Genomic DNA, 19,687 nt, shown 5'->3' on the forward strand with positions numbered 1-19,687 from the left:
TCTTTAATTGTGCCCAATCTGTGGTTTAACATGTCCATTGAGTTCTTAAATTTAAAACTTTTTTTCATGTCTAGAGTTCTTTTTCAATACTACCTGGCCTTTTAAAACTAGTGTACTGGAGTGGAATAATAGACATTGTAGACCCAGAAAGGTGGGAGGTGCAAGAGGTGTAAGGGATAAAAAATTACCTAATGGGTCAGGCACAGTGGCTCACGCCTGTAATCCCAGCACTTTGGGAGGCCAAGGCGGGTGGATCACCTGAGTTCAGCAGTTTGAGACCAGCCTGGCCAACATGATGAAACCCTGTCTCTACTAAAAATACGAAAAATTAGCTGGGCTTGGTGGCACACGCCTGTAATACCAGCTACTCGTGAGGCTGAGACAGGAGAATCGCTTGAACCCAAGAGGCAGAGATTGCAGTGAGCCAAGATGGCGCCACTGCACTCCAGCCTGGGCACCAAGAGCGAAACTCTGTCTCAAAAAAAAAAAAAAATTACCTAATGGGTTCTACGTATATGATTTGAGTGATGGTTACACTTTAAAGCCCAAACTTCACCACTACACAATATATCCATGTAACAAAGCTGCATTTGTATCCTCAAATCTGTAAAAATAAAATAATGTCTTGTTCTTTTCTTACATTTTCAATTATATCTTTAATCATTTTAAGCAATTTTATAGTGTGTATTAGATTGCATATTTCGGGGTCTAATTCTATGTGTTGTGTCTTCAGACATTTGATTATGGTGTGGTGTTTTTTCATGTGTTTTGTAATTTTTTATTTTAAATTGTGTTCAGTGCAGCTTTACTTGTGGGGATCTTGTGAGGGATATGTCTCTCTAGAGCTGTTTTATGTTGCTTCTGCTTGGTAGGAATAACAATAGTTATACTCTTAAGTGCGTATACACTTTGTACTCATTTTTTAGTGTGGAGGGTTCCTGGACAGTGTAGGAGTTATAAATTTTGAATCCCAAACCCATGTGAAAGCAGGCCTCAGAGGGAGACCCTGTTTTCTACCTTCTTACAGCCCAGGTTGTCTTCCTATACTAGTGAATGAATTTTTGTCTAGTTCAACCTTATTGAAGGTGTTGTCCTTTGAAACTCCCAACTTCCTACAGGTGTTTCAGTTCCAACCTCCTGCCTTACTTAGGCCCAAGGCTCTGTCTCCTGCCTCTACAGGCCATCAGAACCTAAGCACGTGTGCTTGCTTCAGCAGCACATGTACTGGAATTAGAATGATGCAGAGAAGATTAGCATGGTCCCTGCACAAGGATGATGCACAAATCCGTGAAGTATTCCATATAAAAACAAAGAAGAAGAAGAAGGTGGATCATGGCAGACGGGAGGCAAGACTAGATTGCAGCTCCAACTTCGATGAACAGAGCAGCATGTGGAGGCTCGCATCATGAATTTTTGCTCCAGAACGACTGCAGGAATAAATCAGGAAACCCAAGAGAACCCACAGACCCTCTGAAGGAAGCAGACTGCTCTTGCAGGACCCAGGAGGCACACCAAATACTGTGAGTGCCCAAATTGTGGAAGTGGGAAAGGGAGATCGTCTGCCCCTGAACACATACCCCCACTGGGGAAACTGAAGGCCTAGGTTATGGGAGAAGATTCTGACCTTACCTGGAGCTGAGTCAATTTAGATACTGAGTGAAATACAGGAGTAGAGGAAAGAGCGGGAAAAGCCCTGTGAGCTCACTGGGTCCCCTAGCAAACCATTTCTGCCTGGCCTTACAGGGGTCCTTTGGTAGGGCGGCCAGAGGCACTTGGAAAAGGTCACAGGGAGAAAGAAATCTCCAGCCGAACTTTGTAACAATTTGAACAGAGGCTGGGCGCAGTGGCTCACGCCTGTAATCCTAGCACTTTGGGAGGGTGAGGAGGGTGGATCACCTGACGTCAGGAGTTCGAGACCAGCCTGGCCAACATGGTGAAACCTCGTCTCTACTAAAAATACAAAAATTAGCCAGGCGTGGTGGCGCATGCCTGTAATCCCAGCTACTCGGGAGGTTGAGGCAGGAGAATCACTTGAACCGGGGAAGCGGAGGTTGCAGTGAGCCGAGATCATGCCACTGCACTCCAGCCTGGGCGACTGAGCAAAACTCCGTCTCAAAAACAAACAAACAAACAAACAACAAAAAAACAGTTTGAACTGATCAAGAAGTCTTCTGGCCAGAACTCGGCGGGGGGTGGGGCATGAATCTGGTGTGCAGACTCCACAGGTGGGGGAAGAAGGAAAGCCATACTTGCTTTCACAGCTGGGAGGTGGGTAGCCTGGGGCAAGTTCTCAGCCCTGCTCACTCAGTGCTGTTGGTGGGGTGGGGGTGGGGGTACAGTGGGAGTGAGACCAGCCCTTTGGATTCTGTGGGAGCTGTGTGAGGCCTGTGACTGCTGGCTTTCCCTCACTTTTCTGACAACCTGCACAACACAGTAGAGACATCCATAATCCTTCTAGGATCATAACCCCATTGATCTGGGAGCCTCACCCCCATCCCCCACAGCAGCTGCAGCAAAACCCGCCCAAGGAGACTCTGAGCTCAGACACACCTAGCCCTGCCCCAACCCAGTGGTCCTACCCTACCCACCCTGGTAACTGAAGACAAAGGGCATATACTCTTGGGAGTTCTAGGGCCCCGCCCACCACCTGTTCCTCCCCATACTATCACAGCTGATGCTCTCTGGAAAGCGCCACCTCCCAGCAGGAGGCCAACCAGCACAAAAATAGTGCATTAAACCACCAAAGCTAAGAACCTTAACAGAGTCCATTTCACCCCCTTTCCATCTCCACCAGAACAGGTGCTGGTTTCCACAGCTGAGAGACCCATAGACGGTTCACATCACAGGACTCTGTGCAGACTACCCCCAGTACCAACCTGGAGCCTGGTAGACTTGCTGGGTGGCTAGATCCAGAAAAGCTGTAACAATCACTACAGCCCAGCTCTTAGGGAGCCACATCCACAGGAAAAGGGGGAGAGTATTACATCAAGGGAACATGCCATGGGACAAAAGGATCTGAACAACAGCCTTCAGCCCTGGACCTTCCCTCTGACAGAGCCTACCCAAATGAGAAGGAACCAGAAAACTGACTCTGGTAATATGAAAAAACAAGGTTCCTTAACACCCCCAAAAGATCACACTAGCTCACCAGCAATGGATCCAAACCAAGAAGAAATCCTTGATTTACCTGAAAAAGAATTCGGGAGGTTACTAATTAAGCTACTCAGGGAGGCACCAGAGAAAGGTGAAGCCCAATGTAAGGAAATAAAAAAATTGGCCAGGCACAGTGGCTCACGCCTGTAATCCCAGCACTTTGGGAGGCTGAGGCGGGTGGATCATGAGGTCAGGAGATCCAGACCATCCTGGCTAACACAGTGAAACCTCGTCTCTACTAAAAATACAAAAAAATTAGCCGGGTGTGGTGGCACACACCTTTAGTCCCAGCTACTCGGGAGGCTGAGGCAGGAGAATCGCTTGAACCTGGGAGGCGGAGGTTGCAGTGAGCCAAGATTGCGCCACTGCACTCCAGCCTGGGCGACAGAGTGAGACTCCATCTCAAAAAAAAAAAAAAAAGAGGAAATAAAAAAATGATACAAGAAGTGAAGAGAAGCCCGGGCACGGTGGCTCATGCCTGTAATCCCAGCACTTTGGGAGGCCAAGGCAGGCGGATCACCTGAGGTCAGAAGTTCAAGACCAGCCTGACCAACATGGAGAAACCCCATCTCTACTAAAAATACAAAACTAGCCAGGTGTGTTGGCGCATGCCTGTAGTCCCAGCTACTCAGGAGGCTGAGGCAGGAGAATCGCTTGAACCCGGGAGGCGGAGGTTGCAGTGAGCCGAGATAGCGCCATTGCACTCCAGCCTGGGCAACAAGAGTGAAACTCTATCTCAAAAAAAAAAATAAAAGTGAAGAGAGGAATCTTTAATGAAATAGACAGCATAAGTAAAAAACAATCAAAGCTTCAGGAAACAATGGACACACTTATAGCAATGCAAAATGCTCTGGAAAGTCTCAGCCATAGAATCGAACAAGTAGAAGAAAGAAATTCAGAGCTCAGAGACAAGGTATTCGAATTAACCCAATCCAACAAAGACAAAGAAAAAAGAATAAAAAAATATGAACAAAGCCTCTAAGAAGTGTGGGATTATGTTAAATGACCAAACCTAAGAATAATTGGCGTTCCTGGGGAAGAAGAGAAATCTAAAAGTTTGGAAAACATATTTGGGAGAATTATCGAGGAAAACTTCCCCAGCCTTTCTAGAAACTTAGACATCCAAATACAAGAAGCACAAAGAACATCTGGGAAATTCATTGCCAGAAGATCATCACCTAGGCACATTGTCATCAGCTTATCTAAAGTTAAGATGAAGGAAAGAATCTTAAGAGCTGTGAGACAAAAGTACCAGGTAACCTATAAAGGAAAATCTATCAGATTAACAGCAGATTTATCAGCAGAAATCCTGCAAGCTAGAAGGGACTGAGGCCCTATCTTCAGCCTCCTCGAACAAAACAATTATCAGCTAAGAATCTTTTTTTTTTTTTGAGACGGAGTTTCACTCTTGTTGCCCAGGCTGGAGTGCAATGGCACTATCTTGGCTCATTGCAACCTCAGCCTCCCAGGTTCAAACGATTCTCCTGCTTCAGCCTCCCGAGAAGCTGGGATTACAGGCATACACCACCATGCCCAACTAATTTTGTATTTTTAGTAGAGACGGGGTTTCTCCGTGTTGGTCAGGCTGGTCTCGAACTCCTGACTTCAGGTGATCCACCTGCCTCAGCCTCCCTAAGTGCTGGGATTACAGGCGTGAGCCACTGTGCCCGGCTAAGAATCTTGTATCAAGTGAAACTGAGCTTCACATATGAAGGAAAGATAGGTTTTTTTTTTAGACAGACAAATGCTGAGAGAATTTGCCACTACCAAGCCACCACTACAAGAACTGCTAAAAGGAGCTCTAAATATTGAAACAAATCCTGGAAACACATCAAAACAGAAACTTTTTAAAGCATAAATCTCATAGGACCAATAAAACAAAAATACAGGCTGGGTGCAGTGACTCACACCTGTAATCCTAGCACTTTGGGAGGGTGAGGAGGGTGAATCACGAGGTCAGGAGTTCGAGACCATCCTGGCCAAGATGGTGAAACCCCATCTCTACTAAAAATACAAAAATTAGCTGGGCATGGTGGCACTTGCCTGTAATCCTAGCTACTTGGGAGACTGAGGCAGGAGAATCACTTAAACCTGGGAGGCGGAGGTTGCAGTGAGCCAAGATGCCATTGCACTCCAGCCTGGGCAACAAGAGCGAAACTCTGTCTTAAAAAAAAAAAAAATTAAAAACAAAAAGAAAAAAAAACAAGCTATACAGGCAACAAATAGCATGATGAATGGAATGGTACCTCACATCTCTGTACTAACATTGAATGTAAATGGACTTAATGCTCCACTTAAAAGATACAGAATTGCAGAATGGATAAGAATTCCATTAAAAAAAAAAAAAAGAATTCACCAACCAACTATCTGCTGCCTTCAAGAGACTCACCTAACACGTAAGAACTCACATAAACTTAAGGTAAACAGGTGGAAAAATATATTTCATGCAAATGGACATGAAAAGCGAGCAGGAGCAGCTATTGTTTTTGTTTTTGTTTTTTGAGATGGAGTCTCGCTCTGTCACCCAGGCTGGAGTGCAGTGGTGCAATCTCAGCTCACTGCAACCTCCGCCTCCTGGATTCAAGCTATTCTCCTGCCTCAGCCTCCTGAGTAGCTGGGACTACAGGCACTTGCCACCATGCCTGGCTAATTTTTGTACTTTTAGTAGAGACGGGGTTTCACCATATTGGCCAGGCTGGTCTTGAACTCATGACCTTGTGATCCACCCACCTCAGCCTCCCAAAGTGCTGGGATTACAGGCGTGAGCCACGGTGCCTGGCCAGGAGTAGCTATTCCTATATCAGACAAAACAAACTTTAAAGCAACAGCAACTAAAAAAGACAAAGAGGGACATTATGTAACAGTAAAAGGCCTTGTTCAACAGGCAAATATCACAATCCTAAACATATAAGGACTAACACTGGAACTCCCAAATTTATAAAACAATTACTAATAGACCTAAGAAATGAGATAGACCTCAACACGATAATAGTGGGGGACTTCAATACTCCACTGACAGCACTAGACAGGTCATCAAGACAGAAAGTAAACAAAGAAACAACGGATTTAAACTATACCCTGGAACAAATGGACTTAACAGATACTTACAGAACATTCCATCCAACAACCTCAGAATATATATTCTATTCAACAGTGCATGGAACTTTCTCCAAGACAGACCATATGATAGGCTACAAAGCAAGCCTCAATAAATTTAAGGAAAATGAAATTATATCAAGCACTCTCTCAGACCACAGTGGAATAAAACTGGAAATCAACTGCAAAAGGAAGCTTCAAAACTATGCAAATACATCGAAATTAAATAACCTGTTCCTGAATGATCATTGGCTCAAAAATGAAATCAAGATGGAAATTAAAAAATTCTTCGAACTGAATGACAATAGTGACACAGCCTATCAAAACCTCTGGGATTCAGCAAAGGCGGTGCTAAGAGGAAAGTTCATAGCCCTAAAAGCCTACATCACAAAGTCTGAAAGAGCACAGACAGACAATCTAAGGTCACACCTCAAGGAACTAGAGAAACAAGAACAAACCAAACCCAAACCCAGCAGAAGAAAGGAAATAACCAAGATCAGAGCAGAACTAAATGAAATTGAAACAAACAAACAAAAAAATACAAAAGATAAATGAAACAAAAAGCTGGTTCTTTGAAAAGATAAATAAAATTGATAGAACATTAGCAAGATTAACCAAGAAAAGAAGGGAGAAAATCCAAACAAGCTCAATAAGAAACCAAAGGGAAGATAGTACAACTGACACCACAGAAATACAAAAGATCATTCAAGGCTACTATGAACACCTTACATGCTTAAACTAGAAAATCTAGAAGAGATGGAAAAATTTCTGGGAAGATACAACCCTCCTAGCTTAAATCAGGAAGCATTAGATACTCTGAACAAACCAATAACCAGCAGTGAGACTGATATGGTAATTTAAAAATTACCAAGAAAAGGGCTGGGCGTGGTGGCTCACACCTGTAATCCCAGCACTTTGGGAGGCCGAGGCAGATGGATCACCTGAGGTCAGGAGTTCAAGACCAGCCTGGCCAAACATGGTGAAACCCCATCTCTAGTAAAAATACAAAAACATTAGCTGGGCGTGGTGGCGGGCACCTGTAATCCCAGCTACTTGGGAGGCTGAGGCAGGAGAATTGCTTAAACCCTGGAGGCGGAGGTTGCAGTGAGCTGAGATTGAGCCAGTGCACTCCAGCCTGGGCAAAAAGAGTGAGACTCCATCTCAAAAAACAAAAAAGGGCCAGGCGTGGTGGCTCACGCCTGTAATCCCAGCATATACTTTGAAGACCAAGGCGAGTGGATCACGAGGTCAGGAGTTCAAGACCAGCCTGGCCAATATGGTGAAACCCCGTCTCTACTAAAAATTCAAAAAAATTAGCCAGGTGTGGTGGCACGCGCCTGTAATCCCAGCTACTCAGGAGGCTGAGGCAGGAGAATCTCTTGAACCCAGGAGGCAGAGGTTGCAGTAAGCTGAGATTGCACCACTGCACTCCAGCCTGGGTGACAGAGCGAGCCTCTGTCTCAAAAAAAAAAAAAAAATTAACAACAAAAAACAAAAGTCCAGGACCAAACGGATTCACAGCAGAATTCTACCAGACATTCAAAGAAGAATTGTATTGACACTATTCCACAAGATAGAGGAAGAGGGAACCCTCCCTAAATCATTCTATGAAGCCACTATCATTCTAATACCAAAAGCAGGAAAGCACATAACCAAAAAACAAAACTACAGACCAATATCCCTAATGAACATAGATGCTGAAGTCCTTAACAAAATACAAGTAAGCAAATCCAACAATATATCAAAAAGATAATCCAGGGGCCAGGCATGGTGGCTCACTCCTGTAATTCCCAGCACTTTGGGAGTCCAGGGCTGGCCGATCACCTGAGTTCAGGAGTTCGAGACCAGCCTGACCAACATGGAGAAACCCCATCTCTACCAAAAATACAAAATTAGCTGGGCGTTGTGGCGCATGCCTGTAATCCCAGCTACTCGGGAGGCTGAGGCAGGAGAATTGCTTGAACCCAGGTGGCAGAGGTGGCGGTGAGCCAAGATCGCACCATTGCACTCCAGCCCGGACAACAAGAGCAAAACTGTCTCAAAAAGAAGAAAAAAATAAAGATAATCCACCATGGTCAAGTTGGTTTCATACCAGGGATGCAGGAGTGGTTTAACATATGCAAGTTAATACATGTGATACACCACATAAACAGAATTAAAAACAAAAATCACATGATCATCTCAATAGATGCAGAAAAAGCATTTGACAAAATCCAGCATCCCTTTATGATTAAAACTCTCAGCAAAATCGGCATACAAAGGACATACCTCAATGTAATAAAAGCCATCTATGACGAACCCACAGCCAACATAATACTGAATGGTGAAAAGGTGAAAGCATTCCCTCTGAGAACTGGAACAAGACAAGGATGCCCACTCTCACTACTCCTCTTCAACATAGTACTGGAAGTTCTAACCAGAGCAGTCAGACAAGAGAAAGAAATAAAGGGCATCCAATTGGTAAAGAGGAAGTCAAACTGTCGCTGTTTGTGGATGATATGATTGTTTACCTAGAAAATCCTAAAGACTCCTCCAGAAAGCTCCTAGAACTGATAAAAAAGTACAGCAAAGTTTCCAGATACAAAATTAATGTACACACATCAGTAGCTCTTCTATATACCAACAGCGACCAAGCTGAGAATCAAATCAAGAACTCAACCCCTTTTACAATAGCTGCAAAAAAGATAAAATACTTAGGAATAGACCTAACCAAGGAGGTGAAAGACCTCTACAAGGAAAACTACAAAACACTGCTGAAAGAAAGCATAGATGACATAAGCAAATAGAAACACATCCCATGCTCACGGATGGGTAGAATCAATATTGTGAAAATGACCATCCTTCCAAAAGCAATCTACAAATTCAATGCAATTCCCATCAAAATACCACGATCATTCATCACAGAATTAGAAAAAACAATTCTAAAATTCATATGGAACCAAAAAAGAGCCCACATAGCCAAAGCAAAACTAAGCAAAAAGAACAAATCTGGAGGCATCAGATTACCTGATTCCAAGCTATACTATAAGGCCATAGTCAGACAAACAGCATGGTACTGGTATAAAAATAGGCACATAGATGAATGGGACAGAATAGAGAACCCGGAAACAAACCCAAATACTTACATCCAACTGATCTTCAACAAAGCAAACAAAAACATAAAGTGGAGAAAGGACACCCTTTTCAACAAATGATGCTGGGATAATTGGCTAGCCACATGTCAGAGAATGAAACTGAATCTTCATCTCTCACCTTATACAAAAATCAACTCAAGATAGATTAAGGACTTAAATCTAAGACCTGAAACTATTAAAATTCTAGAAGATAACATTAGAAAAACCCTTCTAGACATTGGCTTAGGCAAGAACTTCATGACCAAGAACCCAAATGCAAATGCAATAAAAACAAAGATAAATAGCTGGGACTTAAACTAAAGAGCTTTTGCACGAAAAAAGGAACAGTCAGCAGTGTAAAGAGAACCCACAGAGTGGGAGAAAAGCTTCACAATCTATACATCTGACAAAGGAATAATATCCAGAATCTACAATGAACTCAAACAAATCAGCAAGATAAAAACAAACAATTCCATCAAAAAGTGGGCTAAGGACATGAAAAGACAATTCTCAAAAGAAGATATACAAATGCATATGAAAAAATGCTCAACATCACCAATGATCGGGGAAATGCAAATCAAAACTGCAATGCAATACTACCTTACTCCTGCAAGAATGGCCATAATCAAAAAATCAGAAAACAGTAGATGTTGGTGTGGATGCAGTGAACAGGGAACATTTTTATGTGCTGGTGGGAATGTAAACAAGTATGGCCACCATGGAAAACAGTGTGGAGATTCCTTGAAGAACTGAAAGTAGAACTACCATTTGATCCAGCAATCCCACTACTGGGTATCTACCCGGAGGAAAAGAAGTCGTTATACGAAGAAGATACTTGCACACACGTTTATAGTAGCACAATTTGCAATTGCAAATACGTGGAACCAACCCAAATGCCCATCAATCAACCAGTGGATAAATTAACCGTGGTATATCTATACAATGGAATACTACCCACCCATAAAAAGGAATGAATTAATGGCATTCACAGCGACCTGGATGGGATTGGAGACAATTATTCAAAGTGAAGTAACTCAGGAATGGAAAACCAAACCTTGTATGTTCTCACTCATAAGTGGGAGCTAAGCTATGAGGATGCAAAGGCATAAGAATGACACAATGGACTTTGGAGACTCAGGGGGAAAGGGTGGGAAAGGAGTGAGGTATAAAAGACTACAAATTGGGTTCAGTGTATACTGCCCGGGTGATGGGTGCACCAAAATCTCACAAATGAACCACTAAAGAACTTACTCATGTAACCAAATACCACCTGTTTCCCGATAACCTATGGAAAAAAAAACAAAAAACAAACAAAAAAACCTGAACACCTTATTTAATGAGATAACCAAGCAACCTGCACCCCACCCCACCCCCACCCCTAGTGGAACAACTGACATTTTAACTCCTACCCAATGCTCTGGTTTTGGGTTTTTGCACTTTGTTTTGACCCCTGGGGATTTCCTTTACTTACTTGCAAGTTCAGCTGTACATTTAAAAGGATTTTATATTGTATTTGGTATTTCTAAGTGTTTTGTAGTGTGGGAGGACTTTCATTCAGGTTATTTTGGCTACCATATTACTGGAAATGGACATCAAAGATTATTTTAAAAGGAAAATAATTTTAGGATGGCAAGCAGCATTGGCTTAAATGCCAATATTAGATTGAATTCTTAAAGAATTTTTATTTAGAAGGACATCCTCCTTTCTTTCATAGAAGAAGGTAAATGGATTTTTTTCTGCCCTATTTTATCTTTAAATATTTTGGCTTGCCTAAAAAAGTAAACAAAACAGTCGACCTGCCAGCCACTATATATAATATGAATATATACATTCATATTTATGTAGAATAATTTGGGAGAAGTTCTAGTAATCTGGTGCAACTTAAATGCAAGGTAGACATTGAAGAATCTCTGGAGACGAGAATCACAAGGTAGACATGGACTACATAATTATGCCACGCTAAGGAGTTTAGATTTTATTTTGAAGGTGATGGGGAACCTCTCTATCTATATATGAATCTTGGCATATTTGGCAGAATACCAGTTTTCTTGCCAGTTTCTTAAAAGAAGACTTTCTTGAAATGGACTGTAGTGGGGGTGAGGAGAAGGATACATCTTACACATGTGCATGTGTATTCTGGATGGGTATGAGAATCTTGATAAGATTAACGGTTCTCAAGTTTTGTTTTTTGTTTTTTTTTTGAGACGGAGTTTCACTCTGTAGACCAGGCTGGAGTGCAGTGGCACGATCTCAGCTGACTGCAAGCTCCGCCTCCCGGGTTCACGCCATTCTCCTGCCTCAGCCTCCCAAGTAGCTGGGACTACAAGCCCTCACCACCACGGCTGGCTAATTTTCTTGTATTTTTAGTAGAGACGGGGTTTCACCGTGTGTTAGCTAAGATGGTCTCGATCTCCTGACCTCGTGATCCGCCCGCCTCAGCCTCCCAAAGTTCTGAGATTACAGGTGTGAGCCACCGTGCCCAGCGGTTCTCAACTTTTTATGGTGAACTCTGCCCCACAAATAAGAGGTGCTTGGCATGCTTCTTAGAAAAGAGAGAGTAACTTATTTCCTTTCACACATGTCAGGAAGAAGATGTAATGTAATATGGATAAAGAGCAGATTGTTTATGGTAAGTCTTGAGTGGTCATCCTCTTTTGTTTCCTCTTACTCCTCATATTCAGAACCTAGTCTGTCTGTCTGGGAATTACATTTCTACCTTAGAAATCGACTAAGTCTCTACTCCAGTCTTGTCCTTGTTGACTTCAGCACTCACGTGATTGTAATCTTCTGGAATTAGGTGCTTAAAATATTTGAGAGGTTCCCCATCACCTTCAAAATAAAATCTAAACTCCTTAGCGTGGCATAACTATGTAGTCCATGTCTACCTTGTGGTCCTCATTTCTAGAGATTCTCCGATGTCTGCCTCGCATTTACATTGCACCAGATTACTAGAACTTCCCCCAAATTCTATATATTAGACCTAAGCTTGTGATTTTTATTTATTTATTTATTTATTTGAGACGGAGTATCGCTCTTGTCGCCCAGGCTGGACTGCAATAGGGCCATCTCGGCTTTGCAACCTCCGCCTCCAAGGTTCAAGCGATTCTCCTGTCTTAGACTCCCGAGCAGCTAGGATTACAAGCATGTGCCACCACCCCCGGCTAATTATTTGTATTTTTAGTAAAGTTGGGGTTTCACCATGTTGGCCAGGCTGGTCTCAAACTCCTGACCTCAAGTGATCCGCCCACTTCGGCCTCCCAAAGTGCTGGGATTATAGGCATGAGCCACCGTGCCCAGCCAAGCTTCTGATTTTTTTTTTTGAGGGAATGTTTATTTATTTATTTAGAGACAGAGTTTCTCTTTCGTCGTCCAGGTTGGAGTGCAATGGCATGATCTCAGCTCACTGCAACCTCCGCCTCCCGGCACAAGCAATTCTCCTGCTTCAGCCCCTCGAGTAGCTGGGATTACAGGCATGGGCTACCATGCCCAGCTAATTTTGTATTTTTAGTAGAGATGGGGTTTCACCATGTTGGTCAGGCTGGTCTTGAACTCCTGGCCTCGAGTTATCTTCCAGCCTCGGCCTCCCAAAGTGGCGGGATTATAGCCGTGAGCCACCGGGCCCGGCCTGGAAGGGATGTTTAGAGATATACTGACAAGTTGCAGAATGCACTGAACCCATTAACTTCTACAATGGATTTCCCTTTCAGTCTCAAAACACTTCTGGAGGTTGGTAATTTCTTTATTGATTTTTTTCTGAAATAAAATCAATTAACATCCATTATAAAAACTTAAAAACCACAGTAGTGTAAAAATAGGATATTTAGAAACTCCTTTGCACTCCCCTCATTTAGTTCTACCCCACGGAATTAACAATTGTCAATATGTCCTTGTTTATCCTTTCAGAGAATGGTGTCATATAAAACTTCTTATCTAGACTCAGGAGGCTGAGGCAGGAGAACCGCTTAAACCTGGGAGGCAGAGGCTGCAGCCAGCTGAGACCGCACCACTGCACTCCAGCCTGGGAGGCAGAGCGAGACTCCGTCTCAAAAAAAAAAAAATAAAAAATAAAAAGGAAAAAGAAAAAACGTCTTAGCCAGGCACAATGGCTGATGCTTGTAATCACAGCACTTCTGAAGGCCAAGGTGGGAAGAAGATCCCCCGAGGGCAGGAGTTTGAGACCAGCCTTGGCAACTCAGAGAGACCCGCTCCCCCGCCCCACATCTCTTATGTTTTTTCTTATGCTTTCTCTTGGACATTTCTTTATTACATTTCTTCCTCTTTTTACAAAACCGTTGACTTATCTGTTTATGTGTCATGCCAAATTCAAATGAGATCGATAAACTCTCTTGTATTGTGGGGCACCTGTTTAACTTCAGCTTTGCCCAGAGTGTCCATGAGGGATTTGCTGACTAATCTTTTCTTGGGATATTGTTTCTCATTTTCCCTTTCCCTTTTTTATTTTCCTGTTCATCTTCCAGCTCCTTTTCATTTTCTTCTTTTTCTCCCTCTCTCTTTCCGCCTGCTTCTCCTCCTCCTTCTCTCCATTTCTGCTTTCCCTTTTGTTCATCTTCACTGTAATTTCCATTTGATTGTTCTGGATTTTGATCCCAAGGCATAGCTGGTTGTTTCTGCATAACAAGATCCCAACTCTTCAATTGTTTGCAGTTATCACCACCTTCCAGCCCTTGCTGATTTAGATCCATGATTGTTTTGCTTTGGGTTTTCTCTCTTAGAGGCTCTGTTTGATTTTTAGAAATAAAAAAATTCTCAGCCAGGCGTGGTGGCTCACGCCTGTAATCCCAGTACTTTGGGAGGCCGAGGCGGGCGGATCACGAGGTCAGGAGATCGAGACCATCCTGGCTAACACGGTGAAACCCCGTCTCTACTAAAAATACAAAAAATTAGCCGGGCGTGGTGGCAGGCGCCTGTAGTACCAGCTACTCAGGAGGCTGAGGCAGGAGAATGGCGTGAACCCAGGAGGTGGAGCTTGCAGTGAGCCGAGATCGCGCCACTGCACTCCAGCCTGGGCGACAGAGCGAGACTCCGTTTCAAAAAAGAAAAATTCTCAGCTCCAGATGGTTTCACCTCATAAAAATCACAATTGTAGGAACTGTATTGGCCAGTCTGAAAGGATCCAAGCTTCTGATTTTAATGAAAATATTTCCTGGCTGGGCTCAGTGGCTCATGCCTGTAATCCCAGCACTTTGGGAAGCCGAGGTGGGCGGATCATAATGTCAGGAGTTCAAGACCAGCCTGGCCAATATGGTGAAACCCCATCTCTACTAAAAAATAAAAAAATTAGCTAGGTGTGGTGGCACGCGCCTGTAGTCCCAGCAACTCGGGAGGCTGAGGCAGGAGAATGGCATGAACCAGGGAGGCGGAGGTTGCAGTGAGCCGAGATCACACCACTGCACTCCAGCCCGGGCAACTGAGCAAGACTCCATCTCAAGAAAAAGAAAAAAAAAATTTCAATAGGTTTGCTTCCACTAAAGCCAAGAAAGTAGAATTTAATAAATTCTAGTTTTGGTGTAAATAACATGTTTTAAACTTAATTGCTGTGAGTTATAATTTATCTATTTTTCAATATTTTTTCAACTCCTGTAATGTTCCGGGAAAAAGTTAACTATTCAAGAATACATAAAAGCCTGTATATGGAACTTGTATTTTGCCTTTTGCCTCAGGCTCCGATATGGTTGGTTCAGTATGGCACTGTTACTGGTCCTGTCTTTATTAAAAATATTGATATTTTGTTCATTATGGACTTTTGCATTAATTTGATTTTTAAAATATTTCATTAAAACATCTTTCCTCAGGCCAGGCGTGGTGACTCACGCCTGTAATTCCAGCACTTTGGGAGGACGAGGTGGGCGGATCACGAGGTCAGGAGATTGAGACCATCCTGGCCAACACGGTGAAACCCCGTCTCTACTAAAAAATACAAAAAAATTAGCCAGGCATGGTGGTGGGTGCCTGTAGTCCCAGCTACTCGGGAGGCTGAGGCAGGAGAATGGCGTGAACCCGGGAGGCAGAGCTTGCAGTGAGCTGAGAACGTGCCACTGCATCCCAGCCTAGGCGACAGAGCGAGACTGCGTCTCAAAAAACAAACAAAACAAAAAAAAAACCAAACAAACAAAAAATTATTCCTCTTGATAACTGAATTTTTTGGTACCCCCTTAAATTTTGCACATGAAACAAGTGCCTCATTCACCCTACCCTATTCCCAGCCCTGCTAGAGGTCCTTAGATGTAAATAACCTATTTGATATGCCAGTGTTGTGTGGGAAGTATAATTCTTTTTTTAAAAAAGAGCTTCCTTTTGGCCGGAACTGCCATCTTTCAGTAATTTGCCAAAATGACGAACACAAAGGGTAAGAGGCGAGGCACCAGATAGATGTTCTCTAGGCCTTTCAGAAAATGGCTGAGGTGGGAGGATCACTTGAGGTCAGGAGTTCGAGACCAGCCTGGCCAACATGGCAAAACCCCATCTCTACTAAAAATGCAAAAATTAGCTGGGCGTGGTGGCAGATGCCTGTAATCCCAACTACTCGGGAGGCTGAGGCAGGAGAATCACTTGAACCCAGGAGGTAGAGGTTGTAGTGAGCCAAGATCACGCCACTGCACTCCAGCCTGGGCAACAGAGCAAGACTCTGTCTCAAAAAAAAAGAAAACACAGAGTTGTTCCTTTGGCCATGTACACACAAATCTATAAGAAAGACGATATTATTAGCCGGGCGTGGTGGTGCGTGCCTGTAGTCCCAGCTACTCAGGAGGCTGAGGCAGGAGAATCACTGGAACCTGGGAGGTGGAATTTGCAGTGAGCCGAGATCTCACTACTGCACTCCAGCCTGGACAACAGAGTGAGACTCTGTCTCAAAAAAAAAAAATATATATATATATATATATATCTTTTCTATATATATAGAGAGAAAAATATGTGTTCATTATGGACTATATATATTTCTATATCTATTTATATATATATTCTATATATAGAGAAAAAATATATATATACACACACATATAGAGACATCGAGGGAATGTGTACTATTCAAAAAGGAATGTCCCATAAGTGTTACCATGGCAAAACTGTGTCTACACTGTTAACCAGCATGCTGTTGGCATTGTTGTAAACAAAGAAGCTAAGGGCAAGATTCTTGCCAAGAGAATTAATGTGCGGATTGAGTACATTAAGCACTCTAAGAGCCAAGATAGCTTCCTGAAACGCATGAGGGAAAATGATCAGAAAAAGGAAGCCAAAAAGAGAGGTACCTGGGTTCAACTCAAGTGCCAGGCTGCTCCACCCAGAGAAGTGTACTTTGTGAGAACCAATGGAAAGGAGTCTGGGCTGCTGGAACCTATCCCCTATGAATTCAAGCATAATAGGTGCAAAAACATAAAAGACCTCTGGACTGTAAAAATGTTTCTCTTCATTAAGTAGAAGTGTGCTGTCCCCTCCCCCTAATAAAAATTAAAACAAATTTTAAAAGTGTCCTAATTCATTGTGTAATGTCTTTATTATTCAAATTTAATGTATTTCTTGCTGAAAGATGTGAGGTGGCTTATTGTGCAACAAATTACTCAATTGGCTAGAAATGGCCAGATATTATTTATGAAATATTTGTACTTGTTTGAAGATAGTCAGGCCAGGCATGGTGGCTCATGCCTGTAATCCCAGTTACTCGGGAGGCTGAGGCAGGAGAATCGCATGAACCCGGGAGACAGAGGTTGCAGTGAGCCAAGATCACGCCATTGCACTCCAGCCTGGGCAACAAGAGCAAAACTCCGTCTCAAAAAAAAAAAAAGAAAAAAAGTCCATTTAAATCATCATGGAAGAAATAAAATAATTTACAAAAGTTAAAAAAAGAAAAAAGAATCTATTTGAGACTAGGGGATATCTGAAAGTACTGTAGTTGAAATATAAGTTTTTTATTCCTAAAAGTGGTTTCTATCACACATCCCCACTTTTTAGTACAGAGTTTATAGTGCTGAAATGGAGAGAAATTTTGTTATTTTTTAAAATAATATGTATTTTTCTGAATAGGTAATTCATTCACATGATTCAAAACTCAAAAGGCATAAAGAAAAGATAAATGGCAAAAAGTCTCCCACCCCTACTCCCCAACCACCCAGTTCTTTTCCCCAGAGGCAATCAATATTAACAATATCCTTCAAGAGTTAATTAATGCTTATTCAAGCAAATATGCATACATATATTTTAATCCCCCCCCCTTTTTACACAAATGGTAGTCTTTAATCTTGCTTTTTAACTTTAACAATATGTATTGGAGCTCATTCCATAACAATTTATAAAGAAGTTTGTGATGGTTAATAATGAGTGTCAACCTGATTGGATTGAAGGATACAAAGTATTGATCCTGGGTGTGTCTGTGAGGGTGTTGAGTCAGTGGGCTGCTATTCCTTGAAAATGGCAAGTGAGTCATGGCAGTACTCGGGAAAAGTACATACTACATGGAAATGACTGCACTCCAGCCTTGGAAACAGAGCGAGATCTCATCTTAAAAAAAAAAAAAGGTATTACAATGGGGAAAAATTGGTTTTTAAGAAAAGGACCATCGATTGTTTTCCATTATTCCATGTAAAGACTATTTTACATGGAGTTCATTGATTTGTTAACTTTAGAATTCAAATTCCTTATGGAGTTTATTGTAAATAAAGAGCAAGTTTTTGCTTGATTTCCTTCTGTTATCCCTAATACATAGACTCACTTTCAGAGTGTGCTTGGTAAAACCTGGAAGCTTGAAGATGAGCCTTAGGCATCACTGGCAGTGCAGGTGGGTGACAACACAACAGTAGGAAGGCTTCCAGATACTAACCACCAGAGTAGCTTGGCTTTTCTGCTTTACATAACAGGCTTCTAAGTAAGATTTCATTTCATGAAAAGGGTCTGCTAATCCAATTCTTTTGTTTTACAACTGAGTTTTGAATTTTCTACCTTGAATATTTGAAATGAGGACTTTGAATGTCATCAGGGCTAACAGTACCACCTATCAAAGTTCTGAAACTGCATTTCTCAGATTGACAAAACAAACAAAAGCCCAAATTGTTGCCTTGGGGCTTATTAATCTCAGACAGGGGATTTGTTACACCTTTTCTTTTCCATTGTCTTTGTGCCCAGTAGTGTCAAAACACATAATTGGTGCTCAAGTTTACTGTATGAATCTGACAGACCTTTCTCATGACATATATTCGCTGAGCAAGCAATACTGTAAAGCTAAGACATTTAAATTTGTGTGTACAAGTAATGAGAACACTTTAATACTAAATAAGGTGGGGCGCAGTGGCTCACGCCTATAATCCCAGCACTTTGGGAGGCCGAGGCAGGTGGATCACGAGGTCAGGAGATCAAGACCATCCTGGCCAACATGGTGAAACCCCGTCTCTACTAAAAATATAAAAATTAGCTGGGTGTGGTGGTGTGTGCCTGTAATCCCAGCTACTCGGGAGGCTAAGGCAGAAGAATCGCTTGAACCCAGGAGGCAGAGATTGCAGTGAGCCGAGATCGTGCCGCTGGCTTGGAGACAGAGTGGGACTCTGTCTCAAAAAAAAAAAAACTAAATAATATAGTAATAAATAACATAATAAATATAATAATAAGGAAAAGACTAAAGAACCGTTCCTATGACTTGAGGTTTTAAGAACACATTTTCTTTTTATTTTTGAGGCAAGGTCTCACTGTCACCCAGGCTGGAGTGCAGTAGCGTGATCATGGGTCACTGCAGCCTCGACCTCCACAGGCTCAGGTGATCCTCTCGCCTCAGCCTCCCATGTATCTGGGACTACAGGTATGTGCCACCATGCTCAGCTAATTTTTGTATTTTTTGTAGAGATGGGGTCTTGGCATGTTGCCTAGGCTGGTCTCAAACTCCTGGGCTCAAGCAATCCTCCCACTTCAGCCTCCCAAAGTACTGAGATTATAGATGTGAGCCACCGTGCCTGGCCTCACATTAAATTTTGTAGGGAAAAAAAAGTCAACGGGGACATATAGTTACAAGGTATATGCATTTTAAAGTCTCATTTTCCTGGATTTCAAAATGCCATTATTCTTACTACTACTGCTACTGTTACAACTTCTTCACCATGTGATGTTGCCCAAAGAGCAGCCAGACCCTCCTAAAATTAAGTTATGTTACATCATTCATCTGTTAAAATCCCTCAAATGGCTCCCCACCTTGCTTAGTAAAAGCCCAAAGTCCTTGCCATGGCCTACAAGGCCCCACATAATCAGTGCACACACACCCGTCACCCTGATCCATTGCATGCGTTTTTCTCCAACCTTATTTCTTTTTTTTTTTTTTTTGAGATGGA

General features: G+C 42.5%; 3 pseudogenes; 2 read left to right on the top strand and 1 right to left on the bottom strand.

Annotated features, from left to right (window-relative positions):
- RNU6-934P (RNA, U6 small nuclear 934, pseudogene) lies at positions 1,201 to 1,307 on the top strand (annotated as a pseudogene).
- On the bottom strand, positions 13,109 to 14,004 carry NANOGNBP3 (NANOGNB pseudogene 3; annotated as a pseudogene).
- RPL21P132 (ribosomal protein L21 pseudogene 132) lies at positions 16,386 to 16,772 on the top strand (annotated as a pseudogene).

Source organism: Homo sapiens, chromosome X (assembly GCF_000001405.40).
Source record: "Homo sapiens chromosome X, GRCh38.p14 Primary Assembly".
Taxonomy (NCBI): Eukaryota; Metazoa; Chordata; class Mammalia; order Primates; family Hominidae; genus Homo; species Homo sapiens.